Source organism: Homo sapiens, chromosome 4, assembly GCF_000001405.40.
Source record: "Homo sapiens chromosome 4, GRCh38.p14 Primary Assembly".
Lineage (NCBI taxonomy): Eukaryota > Metazoa > Chordata > Mammalia > Primates > Hominidae > Homo > Homo sapiens.
In genome coordinates, this window is record NC_000004.12 from 70,628,345 (window position 1) to 70,647,865 (window position 19,521).

General features: G+C 38.2%; 1 protein-coding gene across 2 annotated transcripts; it reads left to right on the forward strand.

Annotated features, from left to right (window-relative positions):
- Nucleotides 400-18,480, forward strand: ENAM (enamelin). 2 transcript variants are annotated; one of them, NM_031889.3, is made up of 9 exons: nucleotides 400-620; nucleotides 1,097-1,210; nucleotides 3,326-3,394; nucleotides 3,505-3,549; nucleotides 4,307-4,348; nucleotides 5,964-6,224; nucleotides 7,488-7,550; nucleotides 9,446-9,499; nucleotides 13,671-18,480. In NM_031889.3, the coding sequence occupies exons 2-9, from the start codon at nucleotides 1,157-1,159 to the stop codon at nucleotides 16,509-16,511; spliced, it is 3,429 nt and encodes a 1,142-aa protein (NP_114095.2). In that variant the 5' UTR covers nucleotides 400-620; nucleotides 1,097-1,156; the 3' UTR covers nucleotides 16,512-18,480. The 2 variants fall into 2 exon arrangements, with proteins under 2 accessions (NP_114095.2, NP_001355062.1); NM_001368133.1 differs by lacking the exons at nucleotides 400-620; nucleotides 1,097-1,210; nucleotides 3,326-3,394; ... (2 more) ...; nucleotides 5,964-6,224; nucleotides 7,488-7,550 and having other exon boundaries at nucleotides 9,367-9,499.

Consider the following 19,521-nt stretch of genomic DNA (forward strand, 5'->3'; position numbering starts at 1 on the left):
CATATAAAATGTATATTAAGTAAATATATATATTAGCCTGCCTTTTGATGAAGGCAACTGACTTATGACAATAGCATACAGTTAATATTCGCCTTTGTTCCTGAAATATCTTTGTTATAAACATAGTTTCTATACTTTGAAAGCCAAATTCACCAAGGGAAGCATCTTCTAAATCTTACTGCTGTAAGCTCATTTTCCTGGACTGTTATTATACGTAATAAGAGACTTGACTTGACAGCTCCTATAATAACACATTCTAAATTTTAAATTCGATGTGTGTTTTTTACCTTAAACTCTTGTGATGACAAAACCATTTTCCTCAAAGCTGATTGGTTATGCAGGTCTACAACAGTGCTTAAATGGAACCTTGCTGTGCCAAGCTTTCTGACAAGGAGGAATCTTTTTATTTTGAGCCTTTTTGATACTGAACATGATATCTGAGTGAAGAATTTTTGTTTTATTATTAAGAAATAAATGTATCTTGCTTCTTGAGATCTCCCTGGCTTCAGCAATTTGTAGTTATTTCCACTATAGACCATTAAGAATATATTTCAAAGGCAAGCTAACAAAGTTCAAGTAAAAATTATTTTTTATATATTACAGCTTCTAATTGGCATTGGGTGAGTATTAGAGATTATCAACATAAATTACATATAGTGTCAAATAATGAATTTAATTCATAGATGTTGGTTAATTCTCCTTATTGCATTCCTTCTTGTTGGTTGTATAATCATTGTATGCAGACTAATCTTCTGATAAAACTTTAAACTCCTTGGTTTATTTGGTGTATTTGTTTTTCTTGTAAGTTTTTTCCAGCCTTCTTAGACCTCCTTTACTACTGTGACTTTGTACATTTCCCCATAGTGAAGTCTAGTTTTGTCAACATCGCCCTAGAAGTATCTCAAAATACAGTGCCTGTGTCATTTCCTCTCTGATTTAGCTTTCATCCTACTTTTAAAGCAACAGAAGATTAAACTTGATTTTGTGGCCCCCTAATACAGGTATGACTGGATAAAATAATTAACATGACATGTGCTGCCTTAGAACTGAAGCTTTGCTATTCATTTCATTTATTTGTTCCATTTCTATATTTTAGTTTCTTCTCAGGTTAAAGCTGTATTTTTCTTAAAGGCTTATAAAAATTTTGCTGAAAAAAATGTTGGTGCTTCGGTGCAGGCTTGGAACCTCTTTTCCTAAACTAGATAACTTGGTGAGTACTTTCATTTATTTTTGCCAATACATACAGGTTCTCAAACTAGATACTGTCAGAAATACACTTGAGAGGGCCAAACACTACTGAAATGTATCAGAAGACTCAAAGAGCATCTGCTTTCACAGATGGAATGGAAGAAGAACTTACACAGTCATTGTACTTTGTGGCAATCATTATGAGTGTTACTTTCAACTCAAAAAATAACTAATTATAGACTTTAATCACTAACTTTTAGAGATGGAAGGGATCTCAGTCATCCAACATAATATATTAATTTTACAAAAGAGAAAATGAGTTTTCTATTTGCAAATATAAAGGCTACATATATTATCAAGAATCACTGTGACAGCTACTAGAGAGATGAGATGAATGATTAAGCAAGGCAGAAATTAACCATCCAAAAGCACCCTTAAATCTTGGGCCATAATCTTAGAAACATTTAGCAAAGAAAGCTTTCACCAGTATTCTCTTTATTAGTTTCCACATATTGTTGTAACCTATACTAAACACTCTAAAATAACATTCAGCTGTTATTTTCATTCTCTATGATGTTCTAACTCTGAAAATCTTTAAATAGTAGGAAAGGTATTTACATACTACTGCTTCCTTTGTTTAATTACATTCTGCCAATTTTTCTAATGTATGAAAGATAACTGATTACACCCACAATTTAGGAAAATGTCCATTATAAAAATGCTAAAGCGTCATTTATGTTGCTCCTATAGGAAGTAAACAGAAGGGTGAGCATTGGCTCCAATTATGCTAGATAGATTTTATGTCCAGAAAAGGAAGAAAGAATGAAAGGAATGAAAACAACTGAGTGTCTACATGTTGGTTACTCTGCTAGGAAATGGACTATATCTGATATACGATGAAAATGAATCATTCTGATTAAAACCTTTTATTTTCCTCTATTGTATATGCAAATAGAAAGTTTTCTTAAGAAATTACTCAAGTAAATGTTTCAGAATAAACCTTGTTCCAAGATGTAAATACGAGACTTAATTTTACAAGTCTTTCATAATTAACTAGAGTGGGATAAATGAATGAACCCCGTTAAAAACAATCTCCAAACTTCATACATAAGTCTATATGTTTAATCAAGGTATCTAATAAAGAGATAAATTTACTATTCTGCCTATTTCCTATTTCTTCCTATTTTCCTGACCATCTTAGAGCATAAGTGATTTTTTTTTTTTTTTGAGACAGAGTCTCACTCTGTCGCCCAGGCTGGAGTGCAATGGCACGATCTTGGCTCACTGCAACCTCCTCCTCCTGGGTTCAAGCGATTCTCCTGCCTCAGCCTCCCAAGTGGCTGGTATTACAGGTGTGAGACACCACACCCGGCTAATTTTTGTATTTTTAGTAGAGACAAGGTTTCACCATGTTGGCTCAGCTGGTCTCAAGCTCCTGTCCTCAGGGGATCCACCCACCTCAGCCTCCCAAAGTGATGGGATTAAGGCGTGAGCCACCGCGCCTGGCCACATAAGTGATTTTTAAAGGAAGTGATGATGATGATAATAATAATAACAGGAACAATAGAGGAAACCAGGAAAAAAATAAGATTCTGCATATTCCAGTTTACTTAGTCTCTATATAACAGAATATTATCTATAACATCTTAGAAAGTAGCACAAAGTTTTGATTTTGGAGTGTGCCCTCCTTGAAACTGAGATTATTCTGTACAATGAATGTAGTTGGACATCACTATTTCTTTATAAATCAACTAGTAACTAGAAACTCAAACCCATTAATATTCCTATTTGGGGGATAACCTCCTAATTTCTAATTTTCACATTCTGGTGCTATGATATCTCTCTCTTTCTCTCTCTCTCTGTCTCTCTCTCTTTCCCTGTCTCTCTCTTTCCCTGTCTCTCTCTCTCACGCACACACACTTATATTTCCTTTTAATCTGACTCTTTTGGCAGCTTGAAAAGTACCAGATGATAACTATCTAATAGTTTCTTGACATAAAATAAAACTGGCAGCAGGGGCCCCATCCATTTCCATACTCTCCTTGACAGACAAGTAGGCTAGTACTTAGATAAGTGCAGAGTGCCCTAAGCATACTTATTTCACAGACCAAAAATAAAAATCAATTTTTTATTCTAGGTACCAAAAGGCAAAATGAAGATTCTCCTGGTCTTTCTAGGGCTTCTTGGTAATTCTGTTGCTATGCCAGTGAGTATTTTTTAAATGTTAGCTCTTCTCTTTGTGTTCCGTTAGGAACAATTGTTGAGCTTATTTCAACTGATGTTCTGCATTTGTCACTGACATTCTCTTACTTCCAGATGCACATGCCCCGAATGCCTGGATTTAGCAGTAAAAGTGAGGAGGTATGTACGTTCAGTCTCAGAGGAGAAGTTATCCAGAGTCCTATCCTACACATTTACTAAAAAGGAGAATATTGGAAAATTGTCTCATATATAATATTTCTTATGAAAAAGGTAAAAAGAGGGAGATTTGAAAGTCTTAAACTCTCAAATCGAGGCAAAGTAGTAATTTCCCCAGCCATCAGCCTACCTATGTACTTCAGTGTTCCTTTTCAAGGTAGATGTGGATTTGTGTTAAAATCTAGTTGATGTTACCTTATCTGCTAAGTTTTTTAGCTAGCAAAAGTGACCAATTGTACCAAGGGTTATTAGAAGGTAGATGCTTAAAAATAGAAATACCTTTCACATGACTCATATCCCAGATCATTAATCAAATTCAATACATATCAGAAAGATGAATCATCTTGTCACATAATTCTCATGTTCTCAAATCCTGAACTCAAAAAGAATAGAACAGAACATTCAAAAACTTTACAGTAGATCAGACTTTTATTTTCTATGATTCTCTATTGATTATTCTCAAAATAAAATTCTGACTTAAAAGTTAAACTGCCTGAGAAGCTTCTTTAATTGTATACTTTCTTAAAATTCAAGCATAAGTAGGAAAAGGTGATATGACTGTTGTGCATTAAAATCAGAAATTTTTACACTGGGAAGTTCTAAGGTTAAAAAAAGAAATTTTACTTATTTCTTACGATTTGTGCATTGATTTAATAAAAGTTTCACTTTGTATCACATTAATGGATTCCTTTGGTTGCAGATGATGCGGTATAATCAATTCAACTTTATGAACGGCCCACATGTAAGTTTTTCTTTATGTTATTTCTGATGATTTCTTGTTTATCTAGATAACTCCGTTATAAAGTTTGCCTTAGTCAATAGAGACACCAATCCACATGTTTTAAGTATAATGTAATCATTACAAAAGTTTCAAGGTGGAAAAATTATTGCCCCTATCCTCTCACACCAAATTTTCTTCTTATTCATTACTATTGTTCTTTCATGTAAATCAAAATAATTATTAATGAGAAATGTTATTTATTTGAGACTGAGTCTCAAATGTATAGTCAAGAAAAGATGGTTCTGGGAAAATATCACATAAGATGTCACAAATAATGACAATAAAAATAACATAGTAAGTATTGGTGGGGGGTAAGTTTTACTTGGATTATCTTGAAAGATAACACTACAGTTATGAAGCAAGTTTTATGTTATTTAAATAAATATAGGTTATTCTTGTCACTGTATGCTAATTGTCAGAACAGACAAATCAAGTATCAGGTGGTTCTTTGGCACAATTTTTCTGATAAAATTGTATGTTAGCATAATAACACTACACATCACTTTTGATTTCCATGGAATGATCATGAGGGCCATTTTGAGGGGAAAATCAAGGACTACATCCATTTTTTTGTAACCCTTTTTATCCAAGTCATTCTCTTTTAAAGCTCTTTGCCTAAAATAATCATTGTAAATTTCCTCTTCCTCAACTTTTGATTGGCTCAACTTTTTCATACCCCTGTTTTTAGTTTTAGTGACTTTACCTGTGATTTGAAATTTTTACCAACTTAGTTGTCATGAAATCCTGTGTCTTAGTGCAATATTTGCAATTTTGAATTTCATCAATCCACAAAGCGTGGGTACATCATCTAATAGATAGCAAGAGACTAATTAATGAAGACTGGGTATAGAGACAGGTGTTAAACCAGGGAGGAAATATTTGAATGAGAACTGATGTTGCAAGACTGATCATTCATAAATTATCATAAATTTAGAAATTAGCATTTTTATAAATTATCATAAATTTATAAATTAACATTTTTAGATTATAACTACTTTTGCTTCCCTGCCCAACTTTGTAATTGTGGTGATTCTGATAAAAAAATGGATTTAATGAGGATCCACCTGTAACCAAGAACCATAGACACCATATAAGTGTGTTTACACAGACTGAATTTTTATCCTCTCTTTTCCTTTTTTTCTTGTTTTTTATTTTTTGTTTACAGTCTCACTTCCTTTATCTTATTTTTGTTTTTTCTCTTCTTCATCCAGCCTTATAACAAATCACATGGGTTCTGAATACGACATTAAATCTTCTGTAACCTGACTTGTATACTTCTGACCTGAGTTAGGGTTTCAGAGTTAGAAAATCATCAGTCAAATTCTTAAACTGAGATTTCCCACCTAATTCTGCCTTTTGGTTTGTTTTGGTTGTTTGGCTTTCTAGAAGACGGAAGTTCATTCTGTAAGACAATGTGTAAGGAAATTCTAACTAAAGATCTGGAAGCTTCCATAGTTAAGTCAAGTTCCAGGACTTTTAAGCTCTTTGGCTGAGTTTTAGAGGCTGACATTAGAGGATGGAGACAGCCTGAATCACAGCTCTATTATGATTTCACTATTATTTGCTACCCTTTCAGATGGCACACCTGGGGCCCTTCTTTGGAAACGGTCTCCCTCAGCAATTTCCACAGTACCAGATGCCCATGTGGCCTCAGCCACCACCCAACACATGGCATCCACGGAAATCCTCAGCACCCAAACGTCATAACAAGACTGATCAGACCCAAGAAACCCAGAAACCCAACCAGACTCAGTCAAAAAAGCCACCACAAAAGCGGCCTTTGAAGCAGCCATCACATAATCAACCTCAGCCCGAAGAGGAAGCTCAACCCCCTCAGGTGAGACTTGCACAGAAAAATTCCATATCTGTAAATGGCCTCGGAGAGATTTGGAGGGCCATGCCACCCCCATATACACACTTCAATACAGGTACTCTGTTGCAATACCAATGTTTGTTTTGACATGCATCCAAAACTGCATGGCAAGTCGACTCCAATCTTGTTTGGTTGAAATTACCCAAATACTGTTGCCTTTTAAAAGCTCCTTTTAAATTACAGAGACAACATGGTGTAATAATATGAGCACTAATCTAACAGTCGAGAATCAAAGGTTCAAGTCCTATGCCTGGTCCTTATTAGTTGTATGCTATTGAACAAGTTACTTCACCTTTCTAGGTTCCAGTTTCCCCATGAGTAAACTAAATAGTTTCGAAGTTTCATCCAAATCTGTGCTTTGATGCTCTAAAATATTGCTCTTAAATTAACATTGCTTCCAGTACTAGTATGACATAAGGTAAGAAGATGTGCAAATGGTTTCTCAAGATCTCATCCAGTGTGGAGGGAGCTTCGAAAATACTGGCTTTTAGGCCGGGCGTGGTGGCTCACACTTGTAATCCCAACACTTTGGGAGGCCAAGGTAGGTGGATCACCTGAGGTCAGGAGTTCAAGACCAGCCTGGCCAACATGGTGAAACCCTGTCTCTACTAAAAATACAAAAAGTAGCTGGGCTTGGTGGTGCGTGCCTGTAATCCCAGCTATTCAGGAGGCTGAGGCAGAAGAATCGCTTGAACCCGGGAGGTGGAGGTTGCAATGAGCCAAGATCACGCCACTGCACTCCAGCCTGGGCAACAGAGCAAGACTCTGTCTCAAAAAAATAAAAAGAAAATACTGGCTTTTGGTCAGTTAACACTTATTATCAGACACTATTACAGACATAGGGAGTACCAAATTGAATGAAAAGACACTCCTGGATTGGAATCCTGGCTTCAGTGATTTACGAGCAATGAGATTTTGGGCAAGTGACCAAACTTCTCTGAACTTCATGGTCTTAGTAAAATGGGAATAGTAATAGTTTATATCTTCTATGGTTATATGAGGATGAAATGAGTTTAACAATATAAAATGCTCAGCACAGAGCCTGGAATGTGTGTCCAATGATACTAATTGTTATTATCATTATCGTCTTTGCCCTATAAAAAACACAGAGTTTAATGCAAAGGGAGATGTAGACTCCCAAGTTTCAATTGTATTTAGTTAGTTTCCTTCATTTTTTTATGTATTCTTTTCAATACCACATCACTCTGATTCTTTCTTTCTCTCTAGGCATTCCCACCATTTGGAAATGGGCTATTCCCCTATCAACAACCACCATGGCAAATTCCACAGGTGAGAAATTTTTTTTTCTTTACACTGTAAGTGAAAAATAATATTAGTATGTTATAATTTAAATTAATATAAATTCATACATTCTAATGGAATACCATATACCAATCAGTAGATGGTATGAAACAAAACCAGTGCATCAGTAATCATGCAGAAAAAGAATAATTTTTTGAATTTCATACTCAGACAAATTGGTGACATAAATACAACCTAAATCACCAAACAGATACTAATAAATTAGCTAATAAATTAATTTTAAAAGGTTGCACTACTTCATTACTATTTCCCCACATCCTTAAGAAATTTTTAAAAAACACACAAATTATCTTCATTTAATGTAATGGGGAAACTGGGACACAGGACAAAATGGAGTTTGAAAACCACAGGGTGAGCTATGATTAGACATTTTCATCCTATCTTACTGTTTCTAGCCACAGATATATCATTATAAAGAATCTTGGGGCTGGGCAAGGTGGCTCACGTCTGTAATCCCAGCACTTTGGGAGGCCGAGATGGGTGATCACTTGAGGTCAGGAGCTCAAAACCAGCCTGGCCAACATGGTGAAATCCCGTCTCTACTAAAAATACAAAAATTTGCCAGGCATGGTGGTGCATGCCTGTAATCCCAGCACTTTGGGAAGCCGAGGCAGGCGGATCACCTGAGGTCAGGAGTTCGAGACCAGCCTGACCAACAAGGTGAAACCCCGTCTCTACTAAAAATACAAAAATTAGCTGGGCATAATGGCAGGCACCTGTAATCCCAGATATTCAGGAAGCTGAGGCAGGAGACTCACTTGAACCCAGGAAGCAGAGGTTGCAGTGAGCCGAGATCGTGCCATTGCACTCCAGCCTAGGTGACAGAGCGAGACTCCGTCTCAAAAAAAAAAAAAAGAGATCTTGCAAAATATTGTTTACAAGAAGCCTCAAAGAATCTTAAACGTTTAAAATCATTAAAATAAAAAATAATATTGAAATTGCATCATAGGCATTAAAAATACGAATGGCAAAATAAACTTTTTGAACTAAAGAAATGTTAAAGGCCAGTTGCTGCTAAACAAACAAAACAACAGGAAATATTTGTTGACTGTTCATTCAGCTATGACATAGGTTTTCCTTGTCTACAACTCTATTACCAAGAAGGCTTTTTATCAGTGAGGAACAATTCATTTTAAGGAGTAAGAGTTCCTTACATTTTTCCTCCTTAAAAGAGTGACTTCCTTTTACTGGCTATGCTGAACTAAGGAAATTAAGGCAGTACAAGGTAAAGATTTTAAAAACAGATAAACATGATTCTCATGCTGAAGTAACTATTAATCTCATCTACATAAAACTTGAGAAGCAGAAACTCGGCCTCCAAGTTTGATTAGGAGAATTAACTTTAGTCAAATAAAAATATCATAGTAATAATTCAAGGATTGTCAGTTTGGAGTTTGTCCCCCTAAACATGAAGCCACATTCTAAAAATAACATCGTTACTTAATCTCTATTATTAGATGTTCTAATATGGATACTTGGATTCTAACAGCACTCAAATTTCTCTCTCTCACCCTCTCTCTGTATGTGTGTGCATGGTGTGTGTTTGTTGGGGGTTGTGGAGGGTATGTTTTTGAGTGTTGGAGGTGGTAAGGAGGATTGCCAACAGATGCAGCCATACAGAGTATTTTAAGTAGGATAATCTAGGATCCAGCTGAAGCCTTTGTATTTACCAGTATTCACTGTTAGATCATAATTCTTAGCAGCTGGACTGTGAGAGCTAATAACTCAAACGCTAAAAGCTCAGAGTACTAACTGAGCTCAATCATTGACTTGAGCTATTTTTAGACACCCTGAGTCTTACAAACAAATGGCGGCATCGAACGTGGTTTTCTCCTGTGTTCACTGTGTTTTTCACTTCTCAGAGGTTACCACCACCAGGTTATGGACGCCCACCAATCAGCAATGAAGAAGGGGGGGTAAGTACAAGTAAAACTACATTCTCCACTAGAAATTACAATCCATTCGCCCCTGCTTTTTTATCCACATCTAATAAGAAAGTTAAAATCCAACACATGAACCTGTAGCTCAAGCTTCCGTGATTTTTAGAAAATAAAAAAGTTAAACAAATCAAGCCAGTGGTCCAAAGATTGATGGTGGACTCCAGACAGTGATAAACAGAGAAAGAAGTAAGAGTTTCTTAGAATGTTATCCTCAAGAGGAAATTAAGTGATCTCTAACTTCCTGATTATATTAATACAAATAAATTGAAGCCAAGAAAAGATCAATTACTACTCAATTTCACTTTTAAGTTACTGGATAAACTGAACCCAGAACCCAAGTCTTCTGTTACTCTGCTCAATGGCCTTTTTACTATACCACACTAGGAGAAGAACCAAATGTATATCACAGAGTGATATACTCTTAATATTCCAGCTCTATGTCATCTAAAAAGTCATTTTAGTGATTGTGGCATAGCACCCCACCCCCCTGGAGCTTACTTCTTTTTCCCTAAATATGTGATATGTCCTCAGTGAACTGTGGTAACTTAATAGCTTGACTGGAGAGTGGGCGACAGATTGTTCTTTTTTTTTTTTTTTTTTTTTTTTTTTGAGACAGGTGGGAGATCACCTGAGCCTTGGGGGTGGAGGTTGCAGTGAGCCATAGCACCACTGCACTCCAGCCTGGGTGACAGAGCGAGACTATCTCAAACAAAAGAGAGGTTGGCATTACCTGCTCTAAGAGGTCCCTTTCAGCTTTAAGATTATGTATATATACATTTTGTAAGTAAGTCTTTTCATCTCCCACAGTCTATTATTAGCATGGCAGCCAGAGTGAACCTGTGAAAACAATAGTCTCATCTTGTTGCTCCTCTGCTCAGTCCCTGCAATGACTGCCAATTTCTTATCTTTCTTTTCTTTCTTTCTTTCTTTTTTTTTTTTTTGTAAGACAGAGTCTCGCTCTGTCATCCAGGCTGGAGTGCAGTGGCACGATCTCGGCTCACTGCAACCTCCACCTTCTGGATTCAAGCAATTCAGTTCTCATACCTCAGCCTCCCGAGTAGCTGAGATTACAGGTGTGTGCCATCACACCCGTCTAATCTTTGTATTTTTTTAGAGATGGGATTTCACCATGTTGACCAGACTAGTATCGAACTCCTGGCCTCAAGTGATCCAGCCACCTCAGCCTCCCAAAGTGCTGGGATTACAGGCATGAGCCACTGCAACTGGCAGAGATTGTTCTTAAAATAACATTGAAGATTACCGTGTCAGTAATGGTATAAGGCGCTCTCAAATATATCATGAAATAACCCCAAATAAAAATGATTCAGATAATTGTATGCAACCTAGAAAGTGGCACTTCTAATTTTCATATGAGTAACATAAGAAAGGAAGCAGAAAGATCCAGGCAGTTATCACAGGCTTTAAGAAGCTTTTATTTAGGCCAGGCACGGGTGGCTCACACCTGCAATCCCAGCACTTTGGGAGGCTGAGGCAGGTGGATCACTTGAGGTAAGGAGTTTGAGACCAGCCTGGCCAAGGTGGTGAAATCCCGTCTCTACTAAGAATACAAAAATTAGCCGGGTATGGTGGTGCTGGCCTGTAATCCCAGCTACTGTGGAGCCTGAGGCAGAAGAATCGCTTGAACCCAGGAGGGGAAGGTTGCAGTGAGCTGAGATCACATCATTGCACTCTAGTCTAGGCGACAGAGCGAGACTCAGTCTCAAAAAACAAAAAAGGAAAGAAATCTGAATTTAGATAGGCACAATGGCTCACACCTGTAATCCCAACACTTTGGGAGGCTGAGACAGGAGGATCACTTAAGCCCAGGATTTCAAGACCAGCCTGGGCAACATAGGGAGAATAAAATAAATGTTAGGTGAACGTGGTGTCACGTGCCTGTGGTCCCAGCTACCCAGGAGGCTGAAGTGGGAGGATCACTTTAGCCTGGGAATTCAAGGCTGCAGGGAACCCTGATCTTGCCACTGCACTCCAGCCTGGGCAACAAAGAAAAACCCTGTCTCAAAAACTAAGATGTCTGTATTCTACCTCTTGAGGGCACTACCTGATTTCCTGCATGATCTTGGGAGATATTTCCTTGCCTGTCTTTCTCATCTCCATCCACAAATGGGGATTAAAATACTTTTCTTTATATTGCATTTGTTTTAAAAAGAAAAATCAAATGATCTAAATGCCACACAAATGTCTAACAAACATACTGACTGAGTTCGTGATGATTAAATCATTCATTAAATGAAAATTTATTAAGAACATCCCACTCTCCTCGGTACTGGAAAACAAGGATGAGAAGCATAATGTTTTCATTCAAAACCTTCACATGGGAGAATTAAATGGAAGAATCCCAGGAAAATAGGAAACTGAAATTCAGTGGGATAATTGTGATGACAGAAATCTGTACTGCTGTGGACTCCTAGGAATAGGACCTAATTCTGCCCATGGAAGTCAAGACACAGAAGGTAGAAGTCAAACTGAGCTCTGAAGGATGAGTCAAATTTGCCAGGAGGAATAAATGTGTCAATGGAAGAAGTTTCAATATGAATAAGCCGTGTGCAAAGGCACTGAAACATAAAAAGAATAGAGAACCCAGAGAATTCAACGTAGTTGTGATTTGCAACTGCATAAAGTGCAAGGGGGAGGAAATGAGGCTGAATGTAATAGTTATAGCCCAGATTATTATTAAAAATTGTATTATTATTATATAATATATAACACTTATTAGGCACTTACTAAGTACCAGGCACTGAGCTGTACTTATTTTGTCTCATTTGGCCCTCATGACAACCTATGAGGTAGACGTTATTTTATTATCATCTCCATATTACAAATGAATAAACCAAGGTTGGCCCAGAGTCATAGTACTAATACTGGTGGAACGGGGATTTTAATGCACATCTGTCTAGAGCCCCACTGTTTAGCAGCATGTTGTACTGCTTTGATGTTATGTTAAGGGATTTAGAGTTTATTTTGTAAAGGAGAACTTTAAATACAAATTTAAAGAGGAAAGGGGCCAAATTTCCATATACCCACTCTCAGCCTCTAATACTCTGACGGCAGTGCAGAAGCAAGATTAAAGGAAAGTAAGACTGTATCCAGAGTAGCCAGTAAGAAAACTACTGTAACAGTTCAGGGGTACTGTGGATTAAGGAAGTGGGAACAAGGATGAAAGTTTAGATTTTATAGGACCTGATTATTAATAGTCTGAAGTACTAAGAGAGAGCAGAAACTTAAGAAACTGTACAGATAGTGGTGAATGTTGCTTAAATATAGAACATCGGAGGAGGAGATTTCACGGGAGATGAGCCCAGTTCTGGGTGCATTCAGTTGGAGGTACTCATGAAATCTTTAGTGGAGATGTTTTGCTGCCTCAACCTTGGGTGAGAGTGTTGTGGGTTAGAATTATGCCTTTGGGAGTTGTTAGCAGTCTATGCCTATTAAAAGCATGGGCTGATGCAATAGAATTCTTTTTTCTTTCTTTCTTTCTTTTATTTTTTTTTATTTTATTTATTTATTTATTTTTTTTTTTGAGATGGAGTCTCGCTGTTGCCAGGCTGGAATGCAGTGACACGATCTGGGCTCATTGCAACCTCCACCTCCTGGGTTCAGGCGATTCTCCTGCCTCAGCCTCCTGAGTAACTGGGACTACAGGTGCGTGCACCACCATGCCCAGCTAATTTTTGTATTTTTAGTAAAGACGGGGTTTCACCATGTTGGCCAGGATTGTCTCGAACTCCTGACCTCGTGATCCACCTGTCTCGGCCTCCAAAAGTGCTGGGATTACAGGTGCAATAGAATTCTTAAAAGAGGTATGTAAAAACAGAACAGAAAAATTAGGAGGATGGAGGATGAAATCATTAAAAACAAAACAGAAAAACAAACAAAAACCCTCAGATGTATAAGGCCTAAAAAGAGAAAGCTGAGCAGTGGTCAGAAAAAAATACCAGGAGAGAGAACCAGAAAGAGTATGGTCATGGAAACCAAGGAAGAATCAAATTTCAAGAAAGAAAGTAAAGCTAATGATGTTAAAAGAATCATGTGGCTGATAAGATTTCCCTGTTATACTAAAAAATTCCAAACAACACCATGGTGGGAAACAAAGGGCAATTATTGATTTCCATTTTCTTTCCTACAGAATCCTTACTTTGGATATTTTGGATATCATGGCTTTGGGGGTCGCCCTCCTTATTATTCAGAAGAAATGTTTGAACAAGATTTTGAAAAACCCAAAGAAGAAGATCCTCCTAAAGCAGAAAGTCCAGGCACAGAACCCACAGCTAATTCAACAGTCACTGAGACGAATTCTACCCAACCAAATCCTAAAGGGAGTCAGGGAGGAAATGACACCAGCCCCACAGGAAACAGTACCCCAGGACTAAACACTGGGAACAACCCTCCAGCTCAAAATGGGATTGGCCCACTCCCTGCAGTCAACGCTTCAGGCCAGGGAGGGCCAGGAAGTCAAATCCCATGGAGACCAAGTCAGCCAAATATTCGTGAAAATCATCCATATCCTAATATAAGAAATTTTCCTTCAGGAAGACAGTGGTATTTCACTGGTACTGTCATGGGGCACAGACAGAATAGGCCTTTTTACAGAAATCAACAAGTTCAAAGGGGTCCTCGGTGGAACTTCTTTGCTTGGGAACGTAAACAAGTAGCTCGTCCAGGAAATCCAGTTTATCACAAAGCTTACCCTCCTACTTCAAGAGGCAATTATCCCAATTATGCAGGAAATCCAGCAAATCTCAGAAGAAAGCCTCAGGGGCCAAATAAACACCCTGTAGGAACTACTGTTGCCCCACTGGGTCCCAAACCTGGCCCTGTTGTTCGCAATGAAAAAATCCAAAATCCAAAGGAGAAGCCCCTGGGTCCAAAAGAACAAATAATAGTTCCTACAAAGAATCCAACCAGCCCCTGGAGAAACTCTCAACAGTATGAAGTTAATAAATCAAATTATAAACTGCCTCACTCTGAGGGTTATATGCCAGTCCCAAATTTTAATTCTGTTGATCAACATGAAAACTCCTATTACCCAAGAGGAGATTCCAGAAAAGTCCCAAATTCTGATGGACAAACCCAAAGCCAGAATTTGCCCAAAGGGATTGTTTTAGGGTCAAGAAGGATGCCATATGAATCAGAAACTAATCAGTCAGAATTAAAGCACAGCTCATATCAGCCTGCTGTATACCCTGAGGAAATCCCTTCTCCTGCAAAAGAACATTTTCCTGCTGGAAGAAATACTTGGGACCACCAAGAAATCTCTCCACCTTTTAAGGAAGATCCAGGGAGGCAAGAAGAACATTTACCCCATCCTTCCCATGGTTCTAGAGGAAGTGTTTTCTACCCTGAATATAACCCATATGATCCCAGGGAAAACTCACCATACCTTAGAGGCAATACATGGGATGAGAGAGATGATTCTCCCAATACTATGGGGCAAAAAGAAAGTCCACTCTACCCCATAAATACCCCAGACCAGAAGGAGATAGTCCCTTATAATGAAGAGGACCCAGTTGATCCAACTGGAGATGAAGTCTTTCCTGGACAAAATAGATGGGGTGAAGAGTTGAGCTTCAAAGGAGGCCCAACAGTTAGGCACTATGAAGGTGAACAATATACCTCAAATCAGCCAAAGGAATATCTTCCCTATTCTTTAGATAATCCATCAAAACCAAGGGAGGATTTTTATTACAGTGAATTTTACCCATGGAGCCCGGATGAGAATTTTCCATCATATAATACAGCTTCTACTATGCCACCACCTATAGAGAGCAGGGGCTACTACGTTAATAATGCCGCTGGACCAGAAGAAAGCACTCTATTTCCTTCACGGAATTCCTGGGACCACAGGATACAAGCCCAAGGGCAGAGAGAAAGAAGGCCGTATTTTAACAGAAATATCTGGGATCAGGCAACACATTTACAAAAAGCCCCAGCTAGGCCACCAGACCAGAAAGGTAACCAGCCCTATTACAGTAACACCCCAGCTGGGCTTCAGAAAAATCCAATATGGCATGAAGGTGAGAATTTGAACTATGGCATGCAAATAACTAGGATGAATTCTCCAGAGAGAGAACATTCATCTTTCCCTAACTTCATCCCACCAAGTTACCCATCAGGTCAAAAAGAAGCACATTTATTTCACCTAAGCCAGAGAGGCTCTTGCTGTGCTGGTAGCTCCACAGGGCCCAAGGACAATCCACTAGCTCTACAAGACTACACTCCATCCTATGGTCTTGCACCTGGGGAGAACCAAGACACCAGTCCTCTGTATACAGACGGTAGTCATACCAAGCAGACAAGAGATATCATCTCCCCAACAAGCATCCTACCAGGCCAAAGAAACAGCTCAGAGAAGAGGGAAAGCCAAAACCCTTTTAGAGATGATGTGTCCACGCTGAGGAGGAACACACCATGTTCTATAAAGAATCAACTGGGCCAAAAGGAAATTATGCCCTTTCCTGAAGCCAGTTCCCTTCAATCAAAGAATACACCTTGTCTCAAAAATGATCTTGGAGGAGATGGGAACAACATTCTGGAACAAGTTTTTGAAGACAACCAGCTCAATGAAAGAACTGTTGACCTTACTCCTGAGCAGCTTGTTATTGGTACACCTGATGAAGGCTCCAATCCAGAAGGCATCCAAAGTCAAGTCCAAGAAAATGAGAGTGAGAGGCAACAGCAAAGACCATCTAACATTCTGCATTTGCCATGCTTTGGCTCCAAATTAGCAAAGCATCACTCTTCCACCACCGGAACTCCATCTAGCGATGGAAGGCAAAGCCCATTTGATGGGGATTCAATTACGCCTACTGAAAATCCTAACACATTGGTTGAGTTAGCTACTGAGGAACAATTTAAGAGTATAAATGTAGACCCACTTGATGCAGATGAACACAGTCCATTTGAATTCCTTCAAAGAGGGACCAATGTACAGGACCAGGTACAAGACTGCTTACTACTTCAGGCCTAGGGGTTATCCAACCAAGCATTCTTGGGGAAAGAGAAATCACTGACATTCTATACCAATGGTTCCCAAAATTTTTTCCCCAAGACTTAATTAAGTGTCTGACTGTCTTGGTGATCCTTAAGTTTTCTCCCCTCTCAGCAATAGGAGTAGCGACCCAGGTGGAGCTGAGATTAGGCCTCTGGGGATCACCAGATCTAGCACTTTCACAGATTAGTGCAGACCTTAAAAAAGCAAGAAGGCCATGACCATCCCTGCCTCGAAACTTGCAAGTCACTTGTCTGAGTTAGTTTCCTTTTGCTTGATGACTTCTTTTGCTCTCAAAGTTCCATACTTGCAAAATTGGTTTTTCAAGACTGAAAGGCAGATTAACTTTCCATTCTACTTATGGAGATCCACACATCAGTATAGTCCTGATGCACTGTACGTTTTTTGCTTGTGTTGATCTTGTCAGGTTTTTTTCCTACTCAATATTCTCTTCAAGCATTTTTTTTCTTCCACTGCCACTCTCTTTACCTTTATCATTTCTTTTTCTTAGCTTTCTTCCTTCTTTTCTCTCTCCCTCAACCATTCTGTATTTAGCTTTCTAATCCTCATCTTTTTCTCTCTGTATATCACTTCTTACATATTAAATTAGCTATTTTAACCATTTCTAGTCTCTTCTTTATGTCTACCTCCTCCATTATGTCTTCGTCTCTTCCAACCTATCTGTTCTGTCTCCCAATGTACCACTTATCAACTAATCCCTCTCCTCTCTGATTCCTTTCTTCCCTTCAATTTATCTTTTTCCCTGTTACACCATTTTCATCTTAAGACTGCATGTCACTCTCTTCCTTTTTGTATCCACTCTCCAAATCGTACCCTAAATTTTTCTTGACCCAGCTTAACCATCATTACAGAATATATTTTGGAAATGGTAGACACTGATAGCTACTTTGTTTTTAGTTATCTTAGGGTCTCTACCAAGTAGACACAGTTCAGTTAGAGAGACGTATTTAAGGAGAAGGGAAGGCAGGATACCCAGAACTAGCAGCCTAGGGAAAAGGCTTAGGAAGATGGAGAATGAGGAACTGAAGAAACTGCCGCTCTGAGACTGCACATCCAGGAAAAAAGACTAGGACTTGCCACACACTGCCAATTCATAATCCGCAGGATCTGTAGAAGACATTTTGGGAAACACTGTCTTAAATAAAAACTCAATGTTTAGTTGTTTTTTTTTTTTTTTACTAGTTCAGCATAAGGGATTCTACCAGTATGTGCTACTACTAACATTCTTCATGTCCATGCAGAATTACTTACAGACACTCTTTCTTGGTATCTTGAATAAATTGTGTAAATTATTTTGAAAAGTGGATATTTCTATATGCCTTGCTTATAATACATCAGGGATTATTATTCTTATTAATAACATGTTGGCCTATTATCTGGATGTCCCTTGCCTAGAGCAGGAAAAAAGTCTCAGAATTACCTAAAAACATACTTTATAACTTTAAGAGATTTCTTAGGATACATCTTCAGGGGCAGATTTCATAACAACATCTCAAAAATTTGGGGAAACACAACGTTGAAAACTTCCTAAGAAAAGGAATCTTGCCCTTGAATCTTCTGAAGTACCTAGCACAGTGTCTTCAACATAGAAGGTACCCAATAAATATATATCAATTCATTTTTTAATGACTTTCAACACTCCCATGAAAACACCGTAGTCTGCTTTTCCTGAAAGGTGACTGTCTAGGATGCTGAATGAGCCACCACTCCGTAGCTTTATATATTCAGCAACATTTCCATCATAGAATTTCAGCGTTAGAAGGGATCTTAGAGGTAGATTATCCAGGCCATCCCCTACTGCTTACATTCCCCTCCCCCTGGCCAGTTTTATATTTTAATCACACATTGAAAAATTCATTAACTTATTCTGTATAAAACTGTCTTTTAAGAATTATCCTTTCAAAATAAAAATGTTATTGTTTCACTAGTTTATTTTTCCAAATGATTTTTTTTGAAATCTCAATATGAGTACTTTCATTACAAGATACTCACTTCACATTTCACCAAAATGCATGGGTTCACATAATTGTTTTGGCAGATATGTTGACATATCTGAATTTATAAGACACTGCTACTTAAACTACCATCTGAGATCGCTGCAATGTAAAATGTAAAAAGTACAGTGTGACACTTCCAAACTGTCTTGAGCATAAGTAAATATTTTTTCTAAAAATGTATAGTGTGACCAAAGGAACACATATTTTGAATTTGAAAACACACAGTGAAAAGAAGGGAAAATGTCTCTCCAGAAAATAACTGTTTTCTTTTTTTTTTTTTTTTTTTTTTGGTTTTTGTTTTGAGACAGAGTCTTGCCCTATTGCCCACACTGGAGTGCAGTGGCACCATCTCAGCTCACTGCAACCTCCACCTCCCAAGTTGAAACAATTCTCGTGCCTCAGCCTCCCAAGCAGCTGAGATTACAAATGTGTGCCACCAGGCATGGCTAATTCTTGCATTTTTAATAGAGACAGGGTTTCACCATGTTGGTCAGGCTGGTCTCGAACTCCTGACCTCAAGTGATCCATCCACCTCCGCCTCCCAAAGTGCTGGGATTATAGGCGTGAGCACTGTGGCCGGCCCAGAAAACTCTTGATGTCATCAGCACAGGTATGCATTTGCAAACCTGGATACCAGATATGAGTTCCTTACAGTAAAGAAATCAATTATTCTGTATGCTCTTGCTAAGTTATTGATAAAGCTTTTAAAGTCTGCTCTAAAGTTAAGGTGCACGCGGTGGATATCGGAGGCTCTAAAAGTAACCCTCTTGTCTTAGCATCTGAACCCTACCGCTACTACTACACTTCTGTGATGAGTTCCTACATCTAGTGGTCATCTGCTGATTCTAAACTAGCTGGATATAGTCTATGATGTCTTTAGTTGATAAGGTAAAGAAGAAGAAAAAAATGTGAGGATTATAAACACAAGAGATAATCCAGCAAGGTTGACACTCATCTGCTTTATATGCACA